Source organism: Homo sapiens, chromosome 9, assembly GCF_000001405.40.
Source record: "Homo sapiens chromosome 9, GRCh38.p14 Primary Assembly".
NCBI lineage: Eukaryota > Metazoa > Chordata > Mammalia > Primates > Hominidae > Homo > Homo sapiens.
In genome coordinates, this window is record NC_000009.12 from 93,508,532 (window position 1) to 93,532,836 (window position 24,305).

The 24,305-nt window shown below is 43.3% G+C and overlaps 1 protein-coding gene across 15 annotated transcripts in view, besides 2 other annotated features; it reads left to right on the forward strand.

The window, feature by feature from the left end:
* FAM120A (family with sequence similarity 120 member A) overlaps positions 1–24,305 on the forward strand; it is a 114,428-nt gene that overhangs the window by 56,847 nt on the left and 33,276 nt on the right. For 5 of the 15 annotated variants that reach the window (NM_001439102.1, XM_011518413.3, NM_001439104.1 and 2 more), the window contains exons 6-11: positions 7,136–7,236; positions 7,452–7,738; positions 14,749–14,832; positions 18,624–18,711; positions 20,822–21,049; positions 23,624–23,798. In NM_001439102.1, coding sequence (NP_001426031.1) covers positions 7,136–7,236; positions 7,452–7,738; positions 14,749–14,832; positions 18,624–18,711; positions 20,822–21,049; positions 23,624–23,798 — 963 coding nt within the window. Of the gene's footprint in view, positions 1–7,135; positions 7,237–7,451; positions 7,739–14,748; positions 14,833–18,623; positions 18,712–20,821; positions 22,878–23,623; positions 24,059–24,305 lie in introns of those variants that run through there. The other 10 variants (NM_014612.5, XM_005251842.6, NM_001439105.1 and 7 more) reach the window with 5 other exon arrangements.
* Positions 334–529: a silencer, noted in NCBI's record as "fragment chr9:96271147-96271342 (GRCh37/hg19 assembly coordinates)". NCBI's record gives its function as "represses an EF-1alpha promoter that drives an FKBP-Casp9 reporter gene in an ReSE screen in phorbol 12-myristate 13-acetate-treated (for megakaryocytic differentiation) K562 erythroleukemia cells {active_cell/tissue: K562(+PMA)}" and the evidence as "EXISTENCE:reporter gene assay evidence [ECO:0000049][PMID:32094911]".
* Positions 2,793–2,980: a silencer, noted in NCBI's record as "fragment chr9:96273606-96273793 (GRCh37/hg19 assembly coordinates)". NCBI's record gives its function as "represses an EF-1alpha promoter that drives an FKBP-Casp9 reporter gene in an ReSE screen in phorbol 12-myristate 13-acetate-treated (for megakaryocytic differentiation) K562 erythroleukemia cells {active_cell/tissue: K562(+PMA)}" and the evidence as "EXISTENCE:reporter gene assay evidence [ECO:0000049][PMID:32094911]".

Sequence of the window (24,305 nt, forward strand, 5' to 3'; positions counted from 1 at the left end):
GGGCACTGCTACCTCCAGCTCAGGCAGCCTGCCCAGGAGAGGGAATTCATGTTGTGAAAGTTACTTGTGACAAACCTGAGGGAGAAGCTGGGTTGGTCCTGGGGCTGGTGTTCTGGGCTCTGGCCATGGGGATCCTGCCCCTGCTTTGCTCTTGGGCATCACTCCATCCTGACTGAGAGGGGCTCCTGTGCTGCATGAGGTCTGTGTGTCCTGCTGCTCCCCTGACTTTTCCATAGAATAAACAGCCCTACTTCATATGTGTCACCACAGCCCTGATCCCAGTGTCGCATTGCTCAATAGATAGTGTTAACAGTTATTTTGAAAATACACACGATCTCTCTCCAATAACATACCCCCCAGAATCTGAGAACATGAGAAAATATCCCACTCGGAAGTTGGAAAGACAATATGTAAAGAATGATTTTAAATGCCAGATGACTGATCCTAAGCTGCGGAGAAAAGGTGTTCAGCCTCCAGGGAACTCAATGGCATGCCACTCAGACCCTGGAGGTCTGAACAGAGCCCACTGCAGGCTCTGGTGAGAAATCTGTAGTGTAACCTGCCTGAGTCAGCTGAGTGCTCTAGCAAAAGGACCAAAGGATAGAGGCAGGTCCTCTAGGGCAGAAAGAGTGGAAATGTGAAAGAGACCACATGGTGGCCCACACTGCCCCAGGCCATGCCTGGCTGACAGCTGGATGGCTGGACCCACCTGGACCCACCCAGTGGCCCTCCTGTCCTGTTGTGGTCAGGGCAGAAGTGGAGTGCCTGGGGCCTCCTGCAGAGGAGTGGGCTCAGCAGGGAGCATGGATGGCCTCGGGGGTTGGGACTGACCAAGCCTGGGGGCTATGAGCCGTAAGTGGGGCCCATTATAGAAGCTGGTGATGACTTTCTTATTTTCTCCAGAGATGGTCTGGTACTCTGCAATGTGGAGGTGCTATGTAATTTAGCCATGTCTCTGCTGTCGTTGTCAAGAACGTGTTTAGTTTTTTGCTACTATAATGATTTTTAAAAAAATTTTATTTTCATGAGGTATTCAATATTATACTATTGCAGTATTTTACTAATAACCTTAAAAATTTGATATTCCTTAAAAATGTTATATTAAATCCTCACTTTGTCCTGTAGCTTTGCTTACTAGACTTGCCCTTTCTTAGATTTTTACTAAAGTTTTGTTGTTGTTGTGATGAAAAACTGTTAACAAAAAATAGAAGAAACAGTAGAATGAGTGGTGGCGTACCTACTTCAGGTTATACAAATGGCAACCTGTGCTTCAGATCAGTCTTTTAATAAAAAAGAGATGCTTCAGGCTTTTCTAAAAGTCATGTACAGACCCCTTGAACATGTTTTTATATTTTCTCACCTCATACATATGGAATAATTAATACATTAATTTTAAATTAAATTCTGTATTGTGCTTGCTGTTCTGCACTTGGTCTTTTTGAGATGCGTCCTAGTTCATCTTGATGAGTTTTTATCTTTAAAGCTAATGCAGATGACGTTGATGTTAAGCCCCGGAGGCTGACAGAATAAAGGGCACCAGAGGGAAGTCAGAGCATTACTCCCATTGAGTAGAACGGCCACTCATCTTGCCCTTCTGGTCCAGAATTCCCAAGTAGAAAATTGGATTCTTCTGCTGGTGCTGGGGGCTTTGCTTTCAGCGTCTGCTCTGCGACCTTTCGCTCCATTTTCAGTGAGTTTGTGGTAGTTAGTGTGAAGTAGGAAGTGACACAGGCTGCCTGATCATGTGGCCATTTTGGAAGGTCATTTTTATTTTGAACTTAAAAATCGAATGTTTTGGAAGAACCTACACCCTCCTTTGAGCTATTGTCTGACTTAAAAGACTGCAGTGTGTGTCTTCCCAAAGTGGATGCACTTAGGTTTATTAATGTTGTATTTGTTAATGGCGTTTCAATATTTGGTTACAAATGAGGAATGTCAGTTCAGTTTACCAGTGACTTCAAAGTAGCGACCTGGTAGAGTTCTCTTTTAGGTTGTGCTTTTCCAAAACCCACAAATGGACAGAAACTAATTTATCTTATTTCATCATAGACTTATAAAACACATTTCAGTGGCTAAATGGGATTTGGGATTTTTGTTTGTTTGTTTTTGTGTTGCTTTTATGAGTGTGTGTAGAAACAGTCTTGATGTGTTGCCTGGCCTGGTCTGAACTGCCTCAGCCCCCAGTGTCGGGATTGTAGTCATGAGCCACCGTAACCAGCCTTGATGAGATGTAATGTTCCTATTCTGCCTTCTTGAACTTTGCTCAGTCAGTACAAGTATTCTGTTCAAACTGATTAATTAAACCCAGGAACTGAATACATTTAGATAAAACTTGCTACTTGAGACTGGGGCACTGGGTAGATTCGAATGATGCCGTATCTCGTGATGTCTACCCTCTCACTATCCACATTCAGGGATGGAAAGGATTTGGGGAGTGAGGAATGTTTATAGAAGTTCAGCCCAGCTCCCTGCTGTAGAATGTTCTTGTATGAGCAGTCCAGCAGTCAGTAAAGCAACCCTTTTCATTGTTGAACTGCTCTCATTCTTAGAAAGTTCTTGTTTCTGTTGACTTGAAATTTGCTTCCGTGGTTTAATTTTTCCCGCTGTTCCGAATTCTTTCACGTGCCACGCAGGATGTGCCTGTTCACTGAGTTCATAATCTTACTTCTCATGGGCCTTGTACTTAGCCTTCTTCAAGCTGATCATGCCTCAGGTTTTGCCTCCTTCTGTCACCAGGCCTCCTCTTCTGGGCGCCGGCCTCTGGCTCTTCCCTTGGGGTCTGGCCAACACCGCAGGCTTTGGGCCAGCATCAGCTGCTCCCAGGCTCTTAGCTCTTGGGAGTTGCTCCTCCATCCTTTGCCTCCCTGGGCACTGACATTGCACCTGGTCTCAGTCCAGGCTTGGCCAGCCTGACCGGCTCTGTGGGGCCTCCTCTCCCTATAGGATGGCCAGACGCCGCGCCCTCCCACTGTGCTCCAAGGCCCCACCCTGCCTCTCTGGACACTGGATCTGTAGTGTAACGGGAACAGGTCACATGACAGTTTCCTTTCTATAACTTTTTATCTTCTGTAGACTATTGAGATTTAGTAAACATGTCTGTTTGCACATGCTTAAAATGGTTGGAATGTTTTGCCTTGTCTGTGTTTGCAAGCGATGAAAATTAAAGGTGGTAGGGATTATATTGATTTGTTTAATCTTGGACTCGACATCTTCAAAGCTATATTTTTTGGGTGATACTTGAAAATCATACAATGTCTGCCTGTTTATTTATTTATTTATGAGATGGAGTCTCATTCTGTCACCCAGGCCAGAGTGCAGTGGCACGATCTCTGCTGATTACAGCCTCTGCCTCCAGGGTTCAAGCGATTTTCAGCCTCTGCCTCCCGAGTAGCTGGGGTTATAGGCGCCTGCCACCATGCCTGGCTAATTTTTTTATTTTTAGTAGAGACGGGCTTTCGCCATGTTGGTCAGGCTGATCTTGAACTCCTGACCTCAAGTGATTCGCCTGCCTTGGCCTCCCAAAGTGGTGGGATTACAGGCATGAGCCACTGAACCAGGCCAGTTTTTTGTTTTGTTTTGTTTTTTGTTTTTTAAGACTTAACTTTGTTACTCTTTGTTTTGTTTAACATTTCAGGATCATATGCCAAGTAATAGAGGAACATTTGTTAGGTTGGGCTAGGAATGGGGACTGGGGTAAGGCCGACTGTAGTTCTAAGAAGAGGTTCCAGTTTAACACCATTTCTTTAAAGAATTTTACCGTATTTTAATTCAGAGCAAAAGCCACACAGCTGCATATAGGCGTAAGTGAGTCCTTTGAGGAAGTAGGTGACTGAGCTGTAACAAGTCAAGATCATACAGCCGAGGGATTGCAGTGCATGTCTCTTTTCATTCTGAAAGAACTTCTCACTATTTAAAAACTATTTTTAAAGTTACGAAATATTTTGAAATATAGTAAACTTTTTTGGCCTTTTTTTCTTCTTTTGCTTCTTGTCTTCAGTCTGCATATTTTTTTTTTTACCGAAAGCCCACCTCTCTAGTAAGTGTGAAAGGAAGAGAGTGAGAAACTGGTGGTGTGACCTCTACTCTGGAGCCCCGTGTCCCTTCTGAGAAAGATGCCTCTTGTTGTAGAGAGGACACACAGTGGTTCTGCTCAGCTGCACTTGGGCATGGAGAACAAGAACCGATATAGACGAAGGCCTGAATCCGCAGAGGGAGACCCTGGGTTAGGAGGCACTTCTGCAGCCTTCAGAAAATGCAGACAAATTAATTCACTTATTGGACTGCTTTAATAGAATAGTGGCTTGCTCTGTGGATTCACAGAGGATTATTTGAGGTCAATGATTGGAATGTGATTTTAGAAAATATTCTTTCCTTGGAATTCTTTGGTTTTATGCTGTAATGTAGTTTGTTTGTTTGCTTTAAAGGAAAGTTTGTGCTTTCAAGGAAGGTTTTAGGATGAAATGGCCAAAAATCAAAAAACAAAAATGATCATCTTCACTTGAATGCGGGTGCTACATGAGTCTAGCCTTAGATTTGTATTATTCCAAAGTTAGGTAAGTGAGGTCAGCCACAAGATATTATACACTAGACATTTTACATTGATTTAAATTATATGGTTGGAGCTTGAATAGATTTTATAATATTCTTTGGACCAAACCTGCCTATCAGAATCACCTGTGAACAGTTTTTTAAAATAATAGCGACTTTGATCGCACACGTGGAGGTGCAGATCTAGCCAACATACTGTTTTAGGAACAGCTCCTTGTATTGTCTGTGCCATGCGTGTGTGTGCGCCATGCATGCACGTGTGGGGTGTGTTTGTGTGCACTTCTGTGTGTATCTACGCCTGTGTGTGAGTGACCACTTGATCATGCACACACATCCCTTAGAGGCACGGACTTGTGGACTTATCGGTCAGTTAGGAATGTGTTGTGTGCACGTGTGTCTATGTGCGTGTTGCATGCAAGTGTGAGGTGTCTGTGACTACACACATGCCAGTCTCATTATTCCCAGCTTCTCATACTGCAGTTGTTTTTGTTTGGTACAAAGGTGGAAGCTCTGCCAAGGTTTTTTCTTGATGCGAGCCAGGATCGAAGGGCTATGGTGTTTAAAGCTTGCGAGCTGAAGGCCCTTGGAAGGCAGGAACCTCAGATAAATTGTAGTCTGTAAGATTCCTGGTCGTTCTCTGGGGGGAGTCAACAATGATCTGTGCTTCACTCCCAGCGTCTGTTGACCATGCTTGGCTCTCAGGAGGCCGGACCAAGGACAGCGTTTGCACTCCTGGTCTCACCACGCCCAGTGTTGGCTTAGGGAACCTCTTGTGAATGCAGCCATGGACATTTGCTTTTCAGAGAACGAGAGTGAAGGTTTGGGGAATGTTTCTGTCCTTACCTATATTGGCAGTAGGCAGTGTGAGAGGTGGTGGTTCTTGGGTTGTGTTCCCCTTGCCTGGTGTTTTCCTCTGATTTCATACTGCTATAAAGAACTGCCTGAGACTGGATAATTTATGAAGGAAAGAGGTTTAATTGACTCACAGTTCAGCATGGCTGGGGAGGCCTCAGGAAACTTAGCATCATGGCAGAAGTTGAAGGGGAAGCAAGGCACCTTCTTAACAAGGCAGCGGTAAGAAGTGTCGAGTGAAGGGGGAAGAGCCCCTTATACAACCATCAGATCTTGTGAGAACTCATTCACTATCATTAGAAGAACATGGGAGAAACTGCCCCTATGATCCAATTACCTCCACCTAGTCTCTCTGCCTAGACACGTGGGGATTATGGGGATTATAATTCAAGATGAGATTTGGGTGGGGATGTGCAGCCTAACCATATCAACTGGTGTTCAGATGAAGAGGTTGTAGAAGCATATCTACTGCTTAAAGAGGGAAATTGGAGTCAGCAAGCTCTGGGCTTGGTTTTCTTCCACATTTAAAACAAACCCAAGGAAGAGATGGTGCAGCCGTGCAAGCCCCTGGTGGATCTGTTGTGTCTCACACAGGTTTTCTATTTTCTCTGTGTCTTCAGCAGTGTGCATCTTACTTAAACCGCCTCAGGGCTCCTTTCATCCCCAGGCCCAGTCCTCAGCTTGACACATCATAGGCCCTCAGCACCTAAGTGTTCTGAGAGGGAGTGCAGCTCCTAGAGGTCCATGTCCCATGTCCTCCTGCTTCCTGCATATCATTTGGGCCCCAGTCGGTCCTTGTTACTGCGGGTCTTGTGCTGTCTCTGGAACAGCCCTTTATGGGCACCATCTACTCACTCATTCACTTCTGTTGGCTGACGTGGCCCCTGAGCTCTCTTCCTGTGCTTAGTTAGGCCGCGCGAGGCCAGAGGTTGAGTGGGGAGGCTTCCAGCCCCTGCCTTCTGTCCCAGCTTCAGGCTGGCCTGGTTCCATGTCCTGCTGTCCTGCTTCAGCCATTCCTCTATGTGGCTTTCAGTCCTCTCACAGATTTCTTCATTTTTGCAAGGTAGCGTGGGAATGATGACTAGCACATGGCAGCACACATCAGGCAGGTTTATGAAATTATGTTTTAAGAGAACACAGAATCACAAATTACTCATCCTGTATATGTGTTAAAATGTGTAACCTAATTGCTGAACAATGAAAAGCAATTCCTTTTATATTTAAAAACTCACTAGTTAGCTGAGAACCTAATGGTAGTTGCAATGTACTTTAAATAGAAAAGTCCTCTTGCTTGACAAAGGTAAAGGAAACTGTTCGGTCCGACTTTGTTCCTTTCATGCCTGCCAGGGCTTCTGGTTTCACGGAGACCTCAGGCTAGGAGCAGCCCTGAGCAGGGAGACTGAGTTACAGAGAATCCCCACCAAGTTGCAGGCAGAGGGACAGCCGAGGCCCTCAGGAAGTACACGAGAGCAGAACCACTATGGCAAGTTCACTGAGAAATCTGGAAAGTTAGAATCCCAGCCCGAGTCCATCAAATGGAGCATCATAAAATTAAGTTTTCCTTACTGTGAAATGGCAATTTGTAATGATTTCTGAGAAGTGGGACCCATGGTGGTGTCGATGTCTGAGCCAGGTGAGGGTGAGATCCCTGGCGCCATGGGCTGGCCCCCAGGATGCCCTGGAAAACGCATTCTGTTCACAGCTGTGTGATTCTTTTCTTTCTGTGTTGGTGAAGCAGCCAGACCCGGTCCGTTTGGAATGCCTGGGATGGTGCCGCCGCATGTTCCTCCTCAGATGCTCAACATTCCGCAGACCTCTCTGCAAGCAAAGCCCGTGGTAAGGCCTTCCCTGCGTTGGGTCGGGTGGCGGGTCTCAGACAGGGTGCGTGCATTGAATTTCAACGAATGCTAAAATAAGTTCCTAACCTCTTGAATTGATACGTGAAATAGATGCCAGTGTTTGTTGAAATAAAAATGAGCCAGGAAACGTCAGCCTGGGCCTGAGTCGGGTCCTGCTGGCCACGTGTGCGTGACCTGTGCCCTTCGCTTCAGGCCCCACAGGTGCCCAGCCCAGGGGGCGCCCCGGGCCAGGGTCCATACCCGTACAGCCTCTCTGAGCCAGCACCTCTCACTTTGGACACGAGCGGGAAGAATCTGACGGAGCAGAACAGCTACAGCAACATTCCTCACGAAGGGAAGCACACGCCGCTGTATGAGCGGTCCTCGCCCATCAACCCGGCCCAGAGCGGCAGCCCCAACCACGTGGATTCCGCCTACTTCCCTGGCTCTTCTACATCGTCATCTTCCGACAACGACGAGGGCAGCGGAGGGGCGACAAAGTGAGTGGTGCGTGGGTCGCTGGGTGCTTCCTGGCGGGTAGTGACCTGGGGAAGCTGCCTTCTGGCCTGCCAGCCCAGCTGGTGTTTTGCTCAGAGATGTAGTTTATTGCAGGTGGGTGATGGTCAGTCTGTACTCAGATGGGGGCTCCTTGGACAGAGAGGAGAGAGGAAGAGTAGGTATGTTCTTGAAGTTTCCATGATTTAAAATCTGCACTATCCCAGCCCCATGGCCTGGAGCCACAGGAAACTTTCTGGGGAGGAATTTGACAAGAACTGGTTTGTGTGATGACCAAAACATGGGGGCATTTGTCCGGTGTGGTGCCACTCACACCCGTCACAGCAACCCCCTGCCGACCCCCGAAACATTAATCTTCTGGCTCCTGGATCAAGGGAGCTCTGAATTTCCTCTCCTTCTCCTAAACTCAGCAGGTTACAGGACACTTTGGAAATAACACTGTTTGCCCAAGCAAAACCCTAGAAAGCTGCCTAGACCCAGGCTGGAATTGTTTCCTTAGAGGAGTATTTTAAACACTGTGTGTCCCTGAATAAATGGGTTCACAAATACATAGTTGGTTAAAATTTGATCGAGGAAATCTTTAATTTGCACTCCTCCCTTTCTTTAAATTGTCTTATGTTTAAAACAAAAAAAACAGGGAAAGAATATTTCTTTTCTTTAAGTCAGTGTCTCCTTTTCCTTGGTGTGAACTCTACTTTACAGCGCAGATAACCAGGGCTGGTTGATGTTACATCTGTTTCTGATGTAGGAAATGTAAGAGACATAGGTGTCAGCTTCCATGCCAGTTCTTACCTTGTGTGTCACCTGAAGCAGGTGATCTTTTCCTCTCTGTCCTCTGTCCATCTGTGAAATGGGAATAAATGTCTGTTGACCCAGGGCAGAGCTTACTGAAGGACTCTCTGCCATCCAGGGATGCATACCCTGTTTATAGCAGAGAAGTATAACATTAATAAATGTTGATTTGTTGTATGTGCAGAGAAGTATAAAATTAATAAATGTTTATTTGCTGTATATGCAATGCCAAGACTCTAAAATGAAGTAAAGAGTTGCAATTGAATATTCAAATTTTTAAATTAACCTCTAGCAAGATAATATATTGAGTACCCATTGAATCAGAATCTCTGGTTGGGGCCCCCAAATTTGCATTTTAAATAAGCACCTCAGTCAGTCTTTAGCACACTGAAGTTTGAGAACAACTGCTTGATGGTCTTGGAAGCCCTTATGTGCCAGATTTCTAAGGCATGTGCATTTTGTTGTAAAACGTGACTCATGTCAGCAAGGTCCAAGTGTCTGTACAATACAGTTTTTGTCTTAGTAAGAAATGTTCTTTCTAAACTGTGAAACATAGGTAAGAAGTAAGACAAAAAGCAAAAGAAGTAAGCTTTATGACCCCAACAAGAGTTCCATGCTAGTGATGGAGATGTGGAAACCAGGTCAAGGTGCTGACTTGGGGACGTGGGTGGTGACTGGGGCATGTTTCAGTTGAGGTGCTTGTTCCTCCGGTGGGGAGGGATTGAGAAGAATGTGAGTTGCCCATCTAATTTGGCAAGTTGTCTTTGTTAGGATGAGCTGAACTTGGAGTGAGTAGGACTGCCTGAGCATGTCCTGTCTTTTCTGGGTATGCACTTCCTACCTGTCTGTGAAGGTTCTGGTCAGCTTTTTGGAGCTCTGGGCATCTGACCTCTCCAAGTGCTTATTGTCTTTATTCCTGGTATGGCATCTTTACTGTTTTCTGGAGATGCATCTTGTTTCTGCCACTGGAATTTGACCTGCTCGGGGTCTTGTGTTTTGCCATCCTTGTGGTATGAAGTGCCATGAGGAATGCAGGGTACACCCTATAATAAGGAAGAGACAGACATGTTAGACTTGAGATGAATGAAGGCAGAGGAGACAAGGGTGCTTGTTCCTGAAGGCTTTGGGGTCAGAAACTAGCATTCAACTTGGGGTGAAACCCTTGATCACAGGCATCCTTTGCTTGTGGCAGGTGCAGGGGTATGACGCGTGTGCCAAGTAGAGACAGTGTTCATGATTTTCAGCAAGGGTTCTAGTGTGTTGAATTGGTTGTATCTGCAGTGTATAATGTGCCCCTTAGGCTGTGCATAAGAGAACAAAGAATTGCTTTTATAGTTTAGAAAAAAAGTCACTACTTTTTTACCCTTTGGTTTAGAATTGAATGAGGACCCCGGGACCTACGTTGCCTTTTCAGGATGGCCCTAAGGGAACAGAAATTATTCATTCTCTTAGCAAGAAATACTTGGGCATTTATTTACCAGTGAACAGGGCAGAGGACAGGAGTGATGAGGTCTGTGCGCAGAGCTTGCATTCTGGAGGAGAGTATGTAAGCAGTGAACATAGAAGCCCTGACGAGTGCGTGAAGAAGACATGCCGAGAGTGAGGAGCGGGGAACTGGGAGCACCAGAGCAAAGGAGGGCAGGAAAACTGGGAGAAAGAAGTGAGCCAGCTGATGGCCTGTGGTGTGAGGACCAGCAGGGCTGGGCCGTGCACAGCTGGATGTGTTCTACGTGCCACGGGAAACATCTAGAGCAAACTTGTTCATCCCGTGGCCCACGGGCCGCACGCAGCACAGGATGGAGGCCCAACACAAATTCATAAACTTCCTTAAAACATTGAGATTTTTTTTCTGATTTTTTTTTTAAAGCTCATTAGCTATTGTTAGTCTATTTTATATGGGGCCCAAGACAATTCTTCTTCTTCCAGTGTGGCCCAGGGATGCCAAAAGGTTAGACACTCCTGATCCAGAGTGTGCTTAGCATGACCTTAGGCTGGAGAGACCCTGGTGTTTCTTTGGAGGTGAGTTTACTCACACCTTGATGCCATTTGCCCTCGGGACAGTGGGTCTCCGGACAGTCAGACCATTCAGCTGGTGGAAACAGTTGAACTCCAGAACTCTGGTCTTAAAATATATTGATGGTAGAAATGTTTATATATATGTATGTATTTTTAAATTTTTTTGAGATGGAATTTTACTCTTGTTGGCCAGGCTGGAGTGCAATTGCATGATCTCGGCTAACTGCAACCTCTGCCTCCCAGGTTCAAGCGATTCTCCTGCCCCAGCCTCCTGACTAGCTAGGATTACAGTTGCCTACTACCATGCCCAGCTAATTTTTTGTATTTTTAGTAGAGATGAGGTTTCACCATGTTGGCCAGGCTGTTCTCAAACTCCTGACCTCAGGTGATCCCCCCACCTCGGCCTCCCAAAGTGCTGGGATTACAGGCGTGACCCACCGTGCCTGGCCAGAAACATTTATAATTTCTAGACTGTAAAATAGCGGAGGCGATTGGCCTTCTAGATGCATAGCAAGGTGTGACCCCACCTGCTGCACTCTGCCTTTCATTGTCCAGACCTAACTTCTCCTGTCTTCTGTAGTGTACGTTCAGTGATACCACAAGGAAGGAATAATGTGGGACACCCTGCAAAATAAATGGCCTAGTTTCCCCAACAATGAATCAGTGGCACTCTTTTAAAGGGTGGTAGTGATGGGCGATGGGGATTGTTACATAAAAAAAGAGACAACAAAAAAAGAAAAAAGCTTCCTATGAATTAAAAAGGTAAGTGGTTTTCTAAAATTATTATTATTATTTTTTTAGGGACAGGGTCTTGCTGTTTCACCCAGGCTGGAGTGCAGTGGGACCATCATAACTCACTGTAGCCTCAAACTCCTGGGCTCAGGTGATCCTCACACCTTAGCATGTTCCACCTGAGACGAAAGACATGTTCCACCACACCCAGCTAACCTGTATTATTTGTAGTTATGGGGTACCGCTGTATTGCCCAGGCTGGTTTCAAACTCCTGGCCTCAAGCAATCCTCCTACCTCTGCCGAAAGTGCTGGGATTACAGGCATGAGCCACTGTGTGCAGCTGATGGCAACTGTTTTAAATGGAAAAAGATACAACTGTGCTGGGTATGGTACTGTACACCTGTAGTCCCAGCTACTCGGGAGGCTGAGGTGGGAGGATCACTTGAGCCCAGGAGGTTGAGGCTGCAGTGAGCTATGATCATACCTGTGAATGGCCAATGCGCTCTCTCCTGGGCAATGTAGTGAGATCTCATCTCATCTCTTAAAGGTATAAGCATGGAATTCACAAGGGAAGCAGCCATCAAGAAACATAAAAAGTTGTTCACCGTCACTAAGAATATCAAAATTCTACAACTTAGACCATAAGATACCTTTTACAAAAGCCTATAAAATTGTCAAACATTTATTTTTAAAAATAAAATGTGGTGGGCGGTTATGGGTGGAGTTATTGGGTCCTGGCTGTCGCCACTGAGCATTGCTGAATGTTGTCATGACTTGTGGACTTCTCAGAGCTGCGAGCATGCGGGTGCTCTTTGTGGAGATTTGCTCTGTGCCTGTAGGAAGGTGGGTGTGTGGTGTGCATTGCAGCAACATTGGTGGAACAGATGTGTGTGCCCCCATGCTGTCATCAGGGTTCATTGCACAGGAGCCTCATACACACTACAGAAAATATGCTCTTGTAACCCCAAGTTCATGGGGAGGCATCCACACAGATGGCAGCAGATCAGGAAATGCTCTCAGCCAGTCCTCAGGGGCAGTAGGGCAGCCTTCATCTGGGTGCGCTTGGCAGCCCTGAACTTTATCTCTTCTTTTCGTTGTATTTCTTTAATATCTTATTCAGCATTTTAGTTTCTTTAGTTGGATGAGTTGTTCAGTGTCTTTGTACTGTACAGTTCTCCTGTGCTGTTGGAATGGACGTCATGGGCTATGTTACTCTTTTGAAATACAAATTTCTCTTTAGAAGTTTTGGAAAATCTGTTAGAGGAGGAGTTCTGAGAATATGAGAAGACTTCTTGCCACATAGTTGTGCCTGCCCGATGTATTTTTCCAAAAAAATTGAAGGTGAACCTGTTGGAAGCTCAGTTCTGAGTTTAATTGACTACTTTGCAGAGACACAACACTCTCTTTCTAGCATGTCCCTTGGAAGAAAATAGGCTGGTGCTTGGGTGGTGATCAGAACTGGCAGTTATTCTAGGCCTAAAACAGTTTGGCAATAAAATAAGAAAAAGGGGCCACATGTGGTGGCTCATGCTTTAATCCCCACACTTTGAGAGGCTGAGGCAGGGGGATTGCGTGAAGCCAGCCTGGGCAACATAAAATTTAAAAATTAGCCAGACATGGTGGCATGTGCCTGTGGGTCCAGCAACCTGGGTGGCTAAGACGGAAGGATCACTTGAGCCCAGGAGTTCAAGGCTGTAGTGAGCCATGATGGCACCACTGCAGTCCAGCCGGGCAACAGAATGAGTCCCTGTCTCTTAAAAAAAAAAAAAAGGAAAGAAAGAAAAGGAATGAAGTGTGTGGCTTTCTAAGTAATGTCTCCTCCAGTTCCTTTGTTAGAACAGTAGAGCAGTACCAGCATACACTTGCTTTATTCTTGTTTAAATTTTAAAAATTAAAGTGACATTCTTGTCTTTTTTCCCTTCCTGGTGCCTGTCAGATGTTTGTAATCTTGTTTCAGTTGAATTAAGAATTACAGTTGAGGCCGGGTGCAATGGCTCATGCCTGTAATTTCAGCACTTTGGGAAGCTGAGGCAGGCAGATCACTTGAGGTCAGAAGTTCAAGACCAACATGGTGAAACCCTTTCTCTACCAAAAAATACAAAAATTAGCTGGACGTGGTTGTGTTTGCTTGTAGTCCCAGCTACTTGGGAGGCTGAGGTAGGAGAATTGCTTGAACCTGGGAGGTGGAGGTTGCAATGAGCCGAGATTGTGCCACTGTACTCCAGCCTGGGCAACGGAGTGAGATCCTGTTTAAAAAACAAAACAAAACAAAAATTACAATTGAATCCTTGTGGAGGTGTTTATTTTATGTTATTTTCATAGATTCATTTGGACTTGCAGAATCTGAATCAAATCTGAGGTTACTGTATTACAATTTTTAATTCTTTGTTTTATATCTTTTTTCTAATTATCATCTTGATACAAAGTTATATAGAATTCAAACACTGGACAATACAGTATAGAGAATTCCCCATGATCCTACTTCTAGAGAGGTAATTATATTTGAAAGATTGGTGAATATTCAAGCACCTTATTTTCCTCTGCATCTGCTAAAATAAGATTTTTACAATAACTAGGTCCTATCTTAGGGAGAGTAACTTGCCCTTTTTCCTTTTCTTCCATCTTTTATCCTTAATATACTTACGTAACTATGTATTCTTATTTGTGCATGTAAGTATTAATATGTACATGTACTTAATACCCAATATTTAATAAGATCTATATACATCCACTTTATTGCTTTAATATTTTTGCATAAAATTACTGACATTTTTAAATGGATATGTAAAAGTCCTTATTGAGAGAGAAGACTGAGTTTTTTTCCACCTTGTGACCTTGTTTGTATAAATGGGTTTCATTTTCTTGAGAACTTATGTATGTATCTTAGGAGAGAAAGCCCTGTGGAACAAGGACATCTCCACATTTATTTTTATTTTGACATGTAGTGTTATGGAGGCATCTTTTGCATAAGTCTTGTATCCCCCTCCCCTGTTAATTTTTGCTAATGACATGTACTCCCTGGACCAAATCTGGACTGTGAAAGATGAACCACAGGAAGGCAGGCTGTTTGGTGTTAGCATGCTCTGTGAGCAGCACTGAGACCTAGCTGTTGGCAGGAACCGGTTTGCTCAGAGTCTCTTGGTTGGTATTTCTAGGTGATGTTGTGACCTGAAGCTCGCAGAACCTCAGAGCATTCAAATGTGCGTGACAGGTTTGCTGAGTTGTTTGTGTATTAAATTAGCTGATGAAAAAGCTCAATGAATGGTAGCTATCACTACTTTTTAAAAATTAACTCTTAGTATGCTAGAAAATCAGAACACTGATGTGGTTTTTAATGTAAAATAGCTAAAAGAATTTTATTTGGCTCCCTTTGATCTGGTATCCCAGGAAGTTTGTGCCTGATGTGCCTCTTTTGCTTGAAGATGGTGTTGAATGTTTTTCTTGTCCTTTAAGGCCTTTCCAACTCTACTTGCAAAAAAACTTTGTGTTTCACAAAGAGAATTCCATCGTGCTCTGCTCCAGGATCCTGAGGCATGGGTAGGTAGGCCTGGGGCTGAGGGAATGACTTTAGTGTAACTGTAGGTTTTTCTTTCAGATTGTTATGCTCTTGTTCCAGACAGATATCCACTTTATATTTATGTTTTGACACATGGTACCATTTCTAATATCTTCTCATAAAAGTGATTCTGAATTTTATATGTTGGCAAAAATTAATTGTGATCTATATCATTACGTTGTGTTCTAGCCATCCACTAATCTGTGTAGACATTTCGTATTGATCTTAAGACAAACGTGTTGACACAGTTAGGTGTCTCTGAACCCTCACTTGTGGGGTGCAAGGGGATAGCTCCGTGACCAGTTGGGGCTTCTTGGTCACACTGTCTTCTGATGACAGCGAGAAGTGCCAACAAGGCTGTGAAAGAAGTTTGAGCCATCATCTGACTGCCACATGGAAAAGTGCTTTCTGTGTTCCTGACATTTTAAGCTCACCCATTATGTGAAGGAAACTGAATGTGTGATGTTAGCTTAACTAGAGCATGAGGAGACTAGACCTATTAGGTGTCTGTCTCTGTGACTCTTGTAGCTTCCCTGGTCAGGGCACCCAGATACTGGTGCTTCTGTAGGGAGATAGCACTTGGCAGGGCCAGGCCGTGCAGGAGAACTCTGAGCATCTGTCCAGCCAGGCTGAGGCCTTCTGTTGCCCTGCACCAGCAGGGCCCAGGCCCTCTTTGTTACACTATCAGAGACCCTCCCGGCTGTCTGTTCTCAGCCCTGTTGAGTTGGGGAGCAGATAGAAATGAAAAATTTACACATGCCAGATAGTTCTGCTGTGAATTTGATCTTTTCTTTTCTAAATTTAATGATTTATTTTCTTCCATTTTGGTTTATTTGCCTTTGCTCTTTCCTGTTGACACAGAAGTCAGTTTTTACTTAACGTTCTCTTTCTTTTCTCCTCCATAAAGGAAAACTCTACACCCCTGACAGTCAGGAACATGAGTGACACGTCATACCCTGGTATACTTGGTGTAAATGAACACCAATACATTTCCATCCTAGTCTCACCAACCTGCTGAAAGATGTAAAAAAAAATCATTCAGTGACTAGAACAGTTTGCTATCTTTCCAGGCTTTCATACGGAAGAAGCTCCAAACGTTCCTAGTGAAGTGAGGCCTTGGCACACCTCTCTGACAGCCTGTGAATACCCCATCCTATAGTGCTGGGCTTCCCCAGCCACCAAGCTGACTTGCCAGAGTCACCCTTTCTGTTGCTTGTGTGCTGCATTCTCACATATGTGTGAAACTGTCTGTAGCGTCGGCTCGGCTCTGCTGTGGTAGCAGGTGCCAATAGTTTGAAATAAGGGTCTGGGTTTGAATCCAGCTACCTTATTTGTGACTGTGGGTAGATTCCTTCTCTCTGAGCCTGGATTTTATCATTTTATCATTAGAGATTTATAGTGTGGAGGTGGGGATGAGATTGTGAGAGCGCCACAGGCTTCCTGCACAGTGCCCGGGTCACTGACTCTACTTCCCTGTGGCCGGTGCCTGTCTCAGCACGTCTCAGCGCAGTGTAAGTCAGTGAAATGTCTGGTTTACGTACATGGTTCCAGGTATCAGTTTAAGGTATTATTAGTTGTGTAAAATGAAACATAAATATATATAGAAGTATTCTAAAATGTTATCCATCTGTTCTTCAAAGCAAGGCATTTGTCATATTCTTTTTTTTTTTAATTGTAAAGTAATATATTTGTCCTATTGAAATATATTGGCCTTCTCAAAAACTGTTTCTTGTCAAGATGCTTTTCAGGCAGAATTTTAGATTTTACAGTATGATTGTTAGAAGGTTATATGGGCATCCAGATTATGACATTTATTTTTAGATTGATAATCTACATAGAACAACACTAAGGCTTGCAAGTGTAGGGTCTGTGTGATCTCAGGTGGCGCTGGCATGGTGCCTCGGCTCTCCAGTTTTAGTAGACAGGTGTGTCCCCTCCTTGCTTGGCACTTTCCTAACACTTGGCCTCCCCTGCCCCACCATCCTAGGTGCATGATCCTCTAGATCCTCTTACCCTCCAAGAGCCCCAGACACTCTAGGGACAGATACCCTGGGGATGGGTGCTTGTGGGTCTGCGTGGTTAATAAGCATTCCACATGAGCCTTTAAGCTTAACAACAGTTTGAGAACACTTATTGTTCTTTACATGCTATGGAAGATAAGCAAGAGTTGTGCCAATGTTGCCATGTACTTCTAGGCCAGGATTTAGTAATTTTTTGCCCCCTGCGTCTCCCAGCTTGCTGACTCATGCATCTCTATCAGCACATGCTCATCCACCTCCTGAGCCGCTATCCATTGTCTGCTCACAATGCGCCCTCAGTGGCTGCTTTCTCAGTGGGACAGACCACTACACTCTGGGGATGCCTGCAATGGTTTTTGACGTGTCTGAGCCACTGCTGGGGTTTCCTCTAGTTTTGTTAAGTTGCAGGCAGAGATTGTGCATGAGCAGTGGTTTCTCCAAGCTCCATGAAGACCGGGAAACCTGAACAGGGTGGGTGAACTTTTCATGGCGTGCATGCAGTATCCTTGGCTGGACAGTCCATTGTGTGACAGCAGAATCTTTTTGCAGCTTTTTTTCCCCCTTTTTTTAAAAGACAGAACTATAATGAAGTTGATTGGAAGATAGGAGAATTATCTGGTCTTAAAACCTCTCCATCTGTCATGTGAGTCAGTTACAAAGGCAGGCCAGTTGACCCATGCTGGCATGTCCTATGGCCAGCACTGGTTTTCAGAAGGTAGTTTGGGCATGGAACCTTATAGTCGAAGGGTGAGTGCACGGAGCACCACAGCCATCCCTGCCTCAGGGTCACACTGTGCACTGAGGTTCCAGTGTGGTGCTGCATCCTGCTGGCCCTGCTCAAGCCCCTGCACATCCTCTGCTACCTGTAGACAGTGCATTTCACATTCGCCTGAGGACTATGGTAAACCCATATACTACAAGTGAACAAAGACTTTAGGAAATAATGCTTATTCACACCATGCATTCTGGTCTGTCCTGTTTCAGTTTTTTTAAATGCTCATTAAACCCACGAAATTGTATTCCCAGACTGTTAATGGGTAACAGCACAGTTACCTCTCATTCTGTAATTTGAGATGCTCTTTGATCTTCTCATCTCTTTTTCCTTATCCCCTTTTTTTTTTCACTACTTTGTTAAATAAAGCCATCCTCCAAATAAGTTCCCATGAACTCCCTGTTCTGTGAACCCACCAAGTTTGTGCCATCTCGCTTTGCCTAGAGTGTACCTTCCCTGTCTTTCAGATTTTCCAGTTCGAGTCACCTCCAGTGTTAGCTCTAATGCCCCCTCCACATGAATAGGCTGGAGCGCCCTGTGTGGTGTATTGTCGCCTTACATTTATTTATAACTTATGTGTAGTATTCGATCCAGATAACATTTAAGTCTTCTACTACCTCATAATTGCCAATTAAATGCTGATCTTTGTCTTGCTGTGACGATGGAAAGATCCTCCAAGGCAAGGCTTGCCTTTGTTTCCTCTGCATCCTCTATAGCGCTAAGCAAATCACAGACCATCTCTGAACTGCCTGGTGACTCCTCTAAGTTAGGTGTTCGATAGTTTCTTTTCCATAGTATGTGGTTATCACCTACCCTTTTGAAGCAGGAAGAAATATTAGTATAATAGAGTTATTTCTCGATGTTGTGTTTATTTTAAAAGTATTGTTATTATGAGCCTGAAGACTTAGCTGAGGCCCTTCTTATCATTGTCAGCTGGTTTGTGAAAGTGATTGGACAGTAATCATGTTCATTTTATGTTTAGCCATATCAGCGGGAACAAGATTGGCTGGGAGAAGACGGGAAGCCACTCAGAGCCTCAGGCACGAGGAGACCCAGGAGACCAAACAAAGGTAGAAAGTCTATGCCTTTTAGTTTTTGAGTTCTGACTCATTTTGTATTAGCACACTGTATTAGTGATCAAATAGTGAAAAATAATATCTCTCTCTTTTAATCGGGTCATGTAAACCTTTACAAAGGGGATAAGCGGGAAAGGAAGAGTTCAGAGCTATGCCCAAGCCGGCTAGTCTTTCTGCATGGCAGGCACCTGATGCATTTCCTTGTTTGCTCACTGTGTCATCTTGGACAAGGTGCTTAGGACCTTCCTGAGCCCACATTTGTTGTAGGTTTTTGTGAAAATTCACTGAAAAGGCACCGGGGATGCTAAATTTAACTCCCCCACCCCCCTTTTTTCTTTATCTTTTTAAAAAAATTTTTGTATTTAATTTTTTTTTTTTTTTTTTTTTTTTTTGAGATGGAGTCTTGCTCTGTCACCCAGGCTGGAGTACAGTGGCGTGATCTCAGCTCACTGAAACCTCTGCCCCCTGGGTTCAAGCAATTCTCCTGGCTCAGCCTCCCTGGTAGCTGAGATTATAGGCGTGCACTACCATGCCTGGCTAATTTTTGTATTTTTAGTAGAGACGGGGTGTCGCCATGATGGCCAGGCTAGTCTCGAACCCTTGACCTCAAGTGATCTGCCCTCCTCAGCCTCCCAAAGTGCTGGGATTATAGACGTGAGCCACCACGCCCTGTCTCCCTGCTTTTCTTCTACTTCTACCTGTTAATAGTGATATCTAAAAATATCTTTTTAATTTGCAAAGCCATGTACGTCTGCCACATGTGATTACCAAGAAGGAGCCGGTTTCCTGCCTGAAGGTTTTGGTGGTTAATATGCAGGGTTGCCTGAATATCAGACGTTTGTCTAAAGAAGTCATACTATTAAATGATTGTTCTGCAAATAAGCAACAAAAATCCTTTGTGGATACATATTATTTTCAAAGCACCTTCCAAAGCATTTTGAGTTGTTCTACATCTGTATTCTTATGGAATGGAAAGTGTAGAAAACACCAGTGAATTATCTATGAGTTATTCTTCTTAAGACTAATTTTGGCACTTTGTGTTTTAAAAAATAAAATTAAGGACTTAATTACACACCATTGTAAAGAGTATACTTTGTTTCAAAACAGAAAAATGTATATGTCTTTAGGGTGGCATTAAATCAATCAATAAGCAGTTCTTATTTTCAACATTATTCTGATAAAGTTTATTATACAAATAATCATTGCTCTTAGGCAACTATTCAGACAATTCAGACTGCTAAAGTGTCTCCTTCCTTTTTCCTTTCCTTAGTTCTACTGCCTCGCAGCAGTCCATCACTGTGGTAATAATCTGGGGACCAGACTCTTTCCTGTGTATGTCCATACACTCCATGTTTGGGGGCTTAGTTGTTACAGAATGGGTGTTTTCACCAAACAGTGTATCATGGACCTCTTTCTATGTCATTATCCATAGATCTGAGACATTGTTTTTAATGGGATTATGCTGTGGCTTAGCAGGTTTTTGGGGCTTTTGGTTTAATTTTTGCTTGTGTATAATTAACTTAGGGCTTTATAATGACTACAGAGAATGCTTGAGTTTGGGTTTTTGTTTGTTCTTTAAGTACCAGCTGTGGCATGGAGTCAGCCCTGGATTAGAATTCCATTTCTATGTGTTAGGGTTGTGTAACTGTGTTCAGACTGCACAGCCTCTTGGAGTGTTAGTTTTCCTGTTTGTGTAGAGATCTTAGGCAAAGTCTCGAGAAAACAGAAACACAGGAATGGACCACATGGATGATGGACAAGTGAGAGCCAAACAAGATAGCAAGGCTCCTGCCTCCCAGCACCCTGCCGTATCTGCAGAGGGACTGCAGGGTGACACAGAACAGCAGGGAGCAACAGGCCCGCTCTCCTGTGGCACAGTAGATGTTGATGCTGTTTCAGTGTGGGAAGCTGTTCAAGGAGAGGACTGGATCAGAGTGCTCTCTGTTTCCTCTGTCTTTAGGGTGGCACCAAATCTGGTCTCTCTAAGACAGGACTCATCTTTGTCCCCTCCGTGTCTGTCAGGTGAACAGGCACCTACCATACTTTAAATGAATGAAAACATGACATACACTCGTTTTCCTCCCTTCTGCTCTCTGCACTGTAGGCAGAAGGCTCGTCCACTGCCTCTTCAGGAAGCCAACTAGCCGAAGGCAAGGGAAGCCAGATGGGCACTGTCCAGCCAATCCCGTGCCTCCTGTCGATGCCCACCAGGAACCACATGGACATCACCACACCTCCCCTGCCCCCCGTCGCACCTGAGGTGCTGAGAGTGGCCGAGCACAGGCACAAGAAGGGGCTGATGTACCCCTACATCTTCCATGTCCTGACGAAGGTATTATCAAAGGGGCCCTGGAGTGGCTTCTGTTATTTGATGAGTGGCCATTCCTATGGGTGTTTTGTCCTTTTGTCCTTTTTTGAACCATTTTTCTGTCTTACTAATCTACTTGAAACAAAGTTCACTTTCCCCTTTCTAAACATTGAATGAAAGATGAACATTTATAACTGTAAATAGTTTTAAAATAACTCGTGAAAAGTCTCACTTTTTTCCTTCAACTTAGTATAGAATATTTTATACTTCTAATGAAATAATGCATCACATTATTTTATGACTTGTAATTTTATTCTTTTTACTTCAATTTCAGAATTTTCTTAAACCATATTTGTGCTGTAATGTCAGGTTTAATTCTGATGTCAGATACAATATCTGGTTCCTTTATCATTTGTGCTTAGAAAATAATGTTTCCCCCTTTGAATGGCTCATAGTGCTTCATGTGTTTTGACTTGTTCATGACCTCATTGAGTGCAGTTTTAATAGTGCTAAGAACAAAAAATATAATACAGGATTTTGTTAACATACGCATAGTCAGAAAATGAAACTATCATTTTATACAGTGTCATAATTTCACTTTATTAGTGTCTTAATGTATGCTTAAATATATACATATAGTGTGGCATCAATTATTTTTTAATCTTGGTGTCTCAAATGTATCTATGTGTATTTAAATTTCCTCAGTGATTTGTAGTCTTTATGTTGGCACTTTTAATCTTAGCCCCACAATTTAACAAGTTACCTCAGTTACTAGATTAATCCTGCAGAACTGGTTTATTGCTATCATGTATTATTAACATGAATACCTATATGACCATATATAACCAGACTTTTCTGTCTATTCTCTACAACCCATCTGTGGTTTGTAAAATGGAGTCAATAAATGCAATAATGAACTCCTGTTCTCAAATACTCCTGAGGTGGACTTCAACTGTTAACTGACTAATCCAAATATTGCTTACTTTTATTAATTAAAGGACATGGAAAACATGTAGCCAGTACTATTTGCTCAGATCCTTTAATTTATTTTTTAGTTGTAATGCCTCCAAATCTCATCTATTATTTGATATGGGTATGCATTTATAGTATCACTTTTCAGATTATGGTTGTAAGGTGAACATTTTATTTTTCAGGTTCAACATAAATTATAAAGGGTAAGTGAAAAGTAATTGTTGTGGGGAAAACATTTTGCTAAGTTTAAGGAACCAAAGTTTTGGGAAGACATCTTTCAAAATAAGGTGTGAAGAAACAACACTCATTCCTCGTGGGGCTGTTTGAAATGTAAGGTCCCCAGGAGCTACCTGTTATGTCCACACTGCTGGATCTGATGCGTGGATAGTCGGTTAGATCTATATGAGGGTTGCAAATTGTACCGACATGCTTTCTTATTTCTTATGAATTTCAAGGGCAAATACTGATAAAATGACCATGGTTGAGAAAATTGTCTTTTCACATTTTAAAATGCTACTTAAGTTTTTTCAGTTTATCCTATAAGCTGAATGGCTCTGGTATTAATTGCCCAGGCTAAGACATTTACAGTGAGATGCATCTTTATGGTAATGAAGAGAATTTGCAAAGCATCATATTATTGAGATAAATATTCCCTAGATGAGAGTGTTAGAACACATGTAGCTACTGGATTAATGAATATGAAAGTATGGAGGGTAAGGGGAAAGACCAGTTTTTAAATTAAACTTATGTGAATGAAAGAAACAGCAAATATTACAAAATTATTATTTAAAGCATATATATCAATGAACTTCATAGACATTGAGGTCATAAATGCATTGTTGTGCTCTGAGTATAATTAAATAAAATTTGTTGCATGATATCTTGAGATGTATCTTGATGCTGTAAGATCCCTGAGACAGATTAATTTTGGCAACAATCTTAGCTGCCAAAGGCCACAGTCAGTCATTTGTCTCTTGGCAGCACGTTCTTGAGTCAGATGCAGTTCTTGCCGTATTGGCCCTGGGACATGAAAAAGGTGGAGTGCTTTTGGTTTCTGCCCTAGTGGCTATGCATGTCCTAGCCACTGTACTGAGACACATTTCTTGAGCACCTGCCACACTATGGCAGAAGCCTAACACACGAGGTGGTAATTTGCCATGGAAGAACTTAGCAAAGAAAATTTGACCATTATATTTTCAGGATACTCAGTTCTTTAGTTTGCATGTAGGTAATTGAAAATTTTCAATTATATTGCATGTGACCATCCCAACTCTCTAAATAAAAGTTGCGAGTTCTCAGTCTTTTCTATTCTGTTTCTTGTCTGATGTTATCTGTCTGGATTGTTTCAAAGACTTTGGAACATCTACATGGTTTTCTTTTGTTCTTGGTTTTGGATTAAACATAAAATGATGTAGATTTTATTTTGATTCTTTGAGCATATGCTTTGGCCACAGCCTGCCAAATGAACTCTTCCTAAACATCTTTATTTAGGCAAGTTGTTAAGCAGTTGATTTGGAATGGAATTGCAATGTCATTAACTGGAGATAATACAGTATATTTCTGTGAGTGTATTGTAAATTCAACATGAAAAATGTGCAATGTTATTCTGCTTTCTTCCATGCAAAGGGTGAAATCAAAATTGCTGTTTCTATTGAAGATGAAGCCAACAAGGACCTGCCTCCGGCCGCTCTGCTCTATAGGCCAGTTCGTCAGTATGTTTACGGAGTCCTGTTTAGTTTGGCAGAAAGCAGAAAGAAAACTGAGAGACTTGCTTTTAGAAAGAACAGACTTCCACCAGAATGTATGTACTGTAACAATCCATTGTTTGTTTTCCTCGGTACCTCGTAATCTCTTGTGCATTTTCTAAAGCCTTAGAAGAATCATGACTGAGTTGACCCCGAGTGCCTCTGTGTAAAGGAGGTGGGCCCATCATCGGGGCAGTAGGCCAGGGTAAAGGCTCTTAGAAAAGGAGGAGAAGCCACAGACTTTCTTCCTCAGTAACATTCCAATAATGATGTTTATTCAGTAAAATAATAAAACAGGTTTACACTTTAAAGTGAATGTTGATCTGAAAGCAGACTTGAATTGCCGCCACTCTCTGTAATTACCACGTCTTGGTAATCAGGACGAGTGAGTTTCTGTGCTCTGGTTTTCATGAAGCACAGATCTGCTCTCTCCAGAAGGCCAGGGTCCTGGAGAAAACTTCCAGCAGGTCTCTGGTTGGCCATGTTTGTGCTGTTGGAGTGCCACCACGCATGGCTCTGCAGCTGTAGCGAAGGTCGTGGGACTCACGGATCGTCGCAGGATT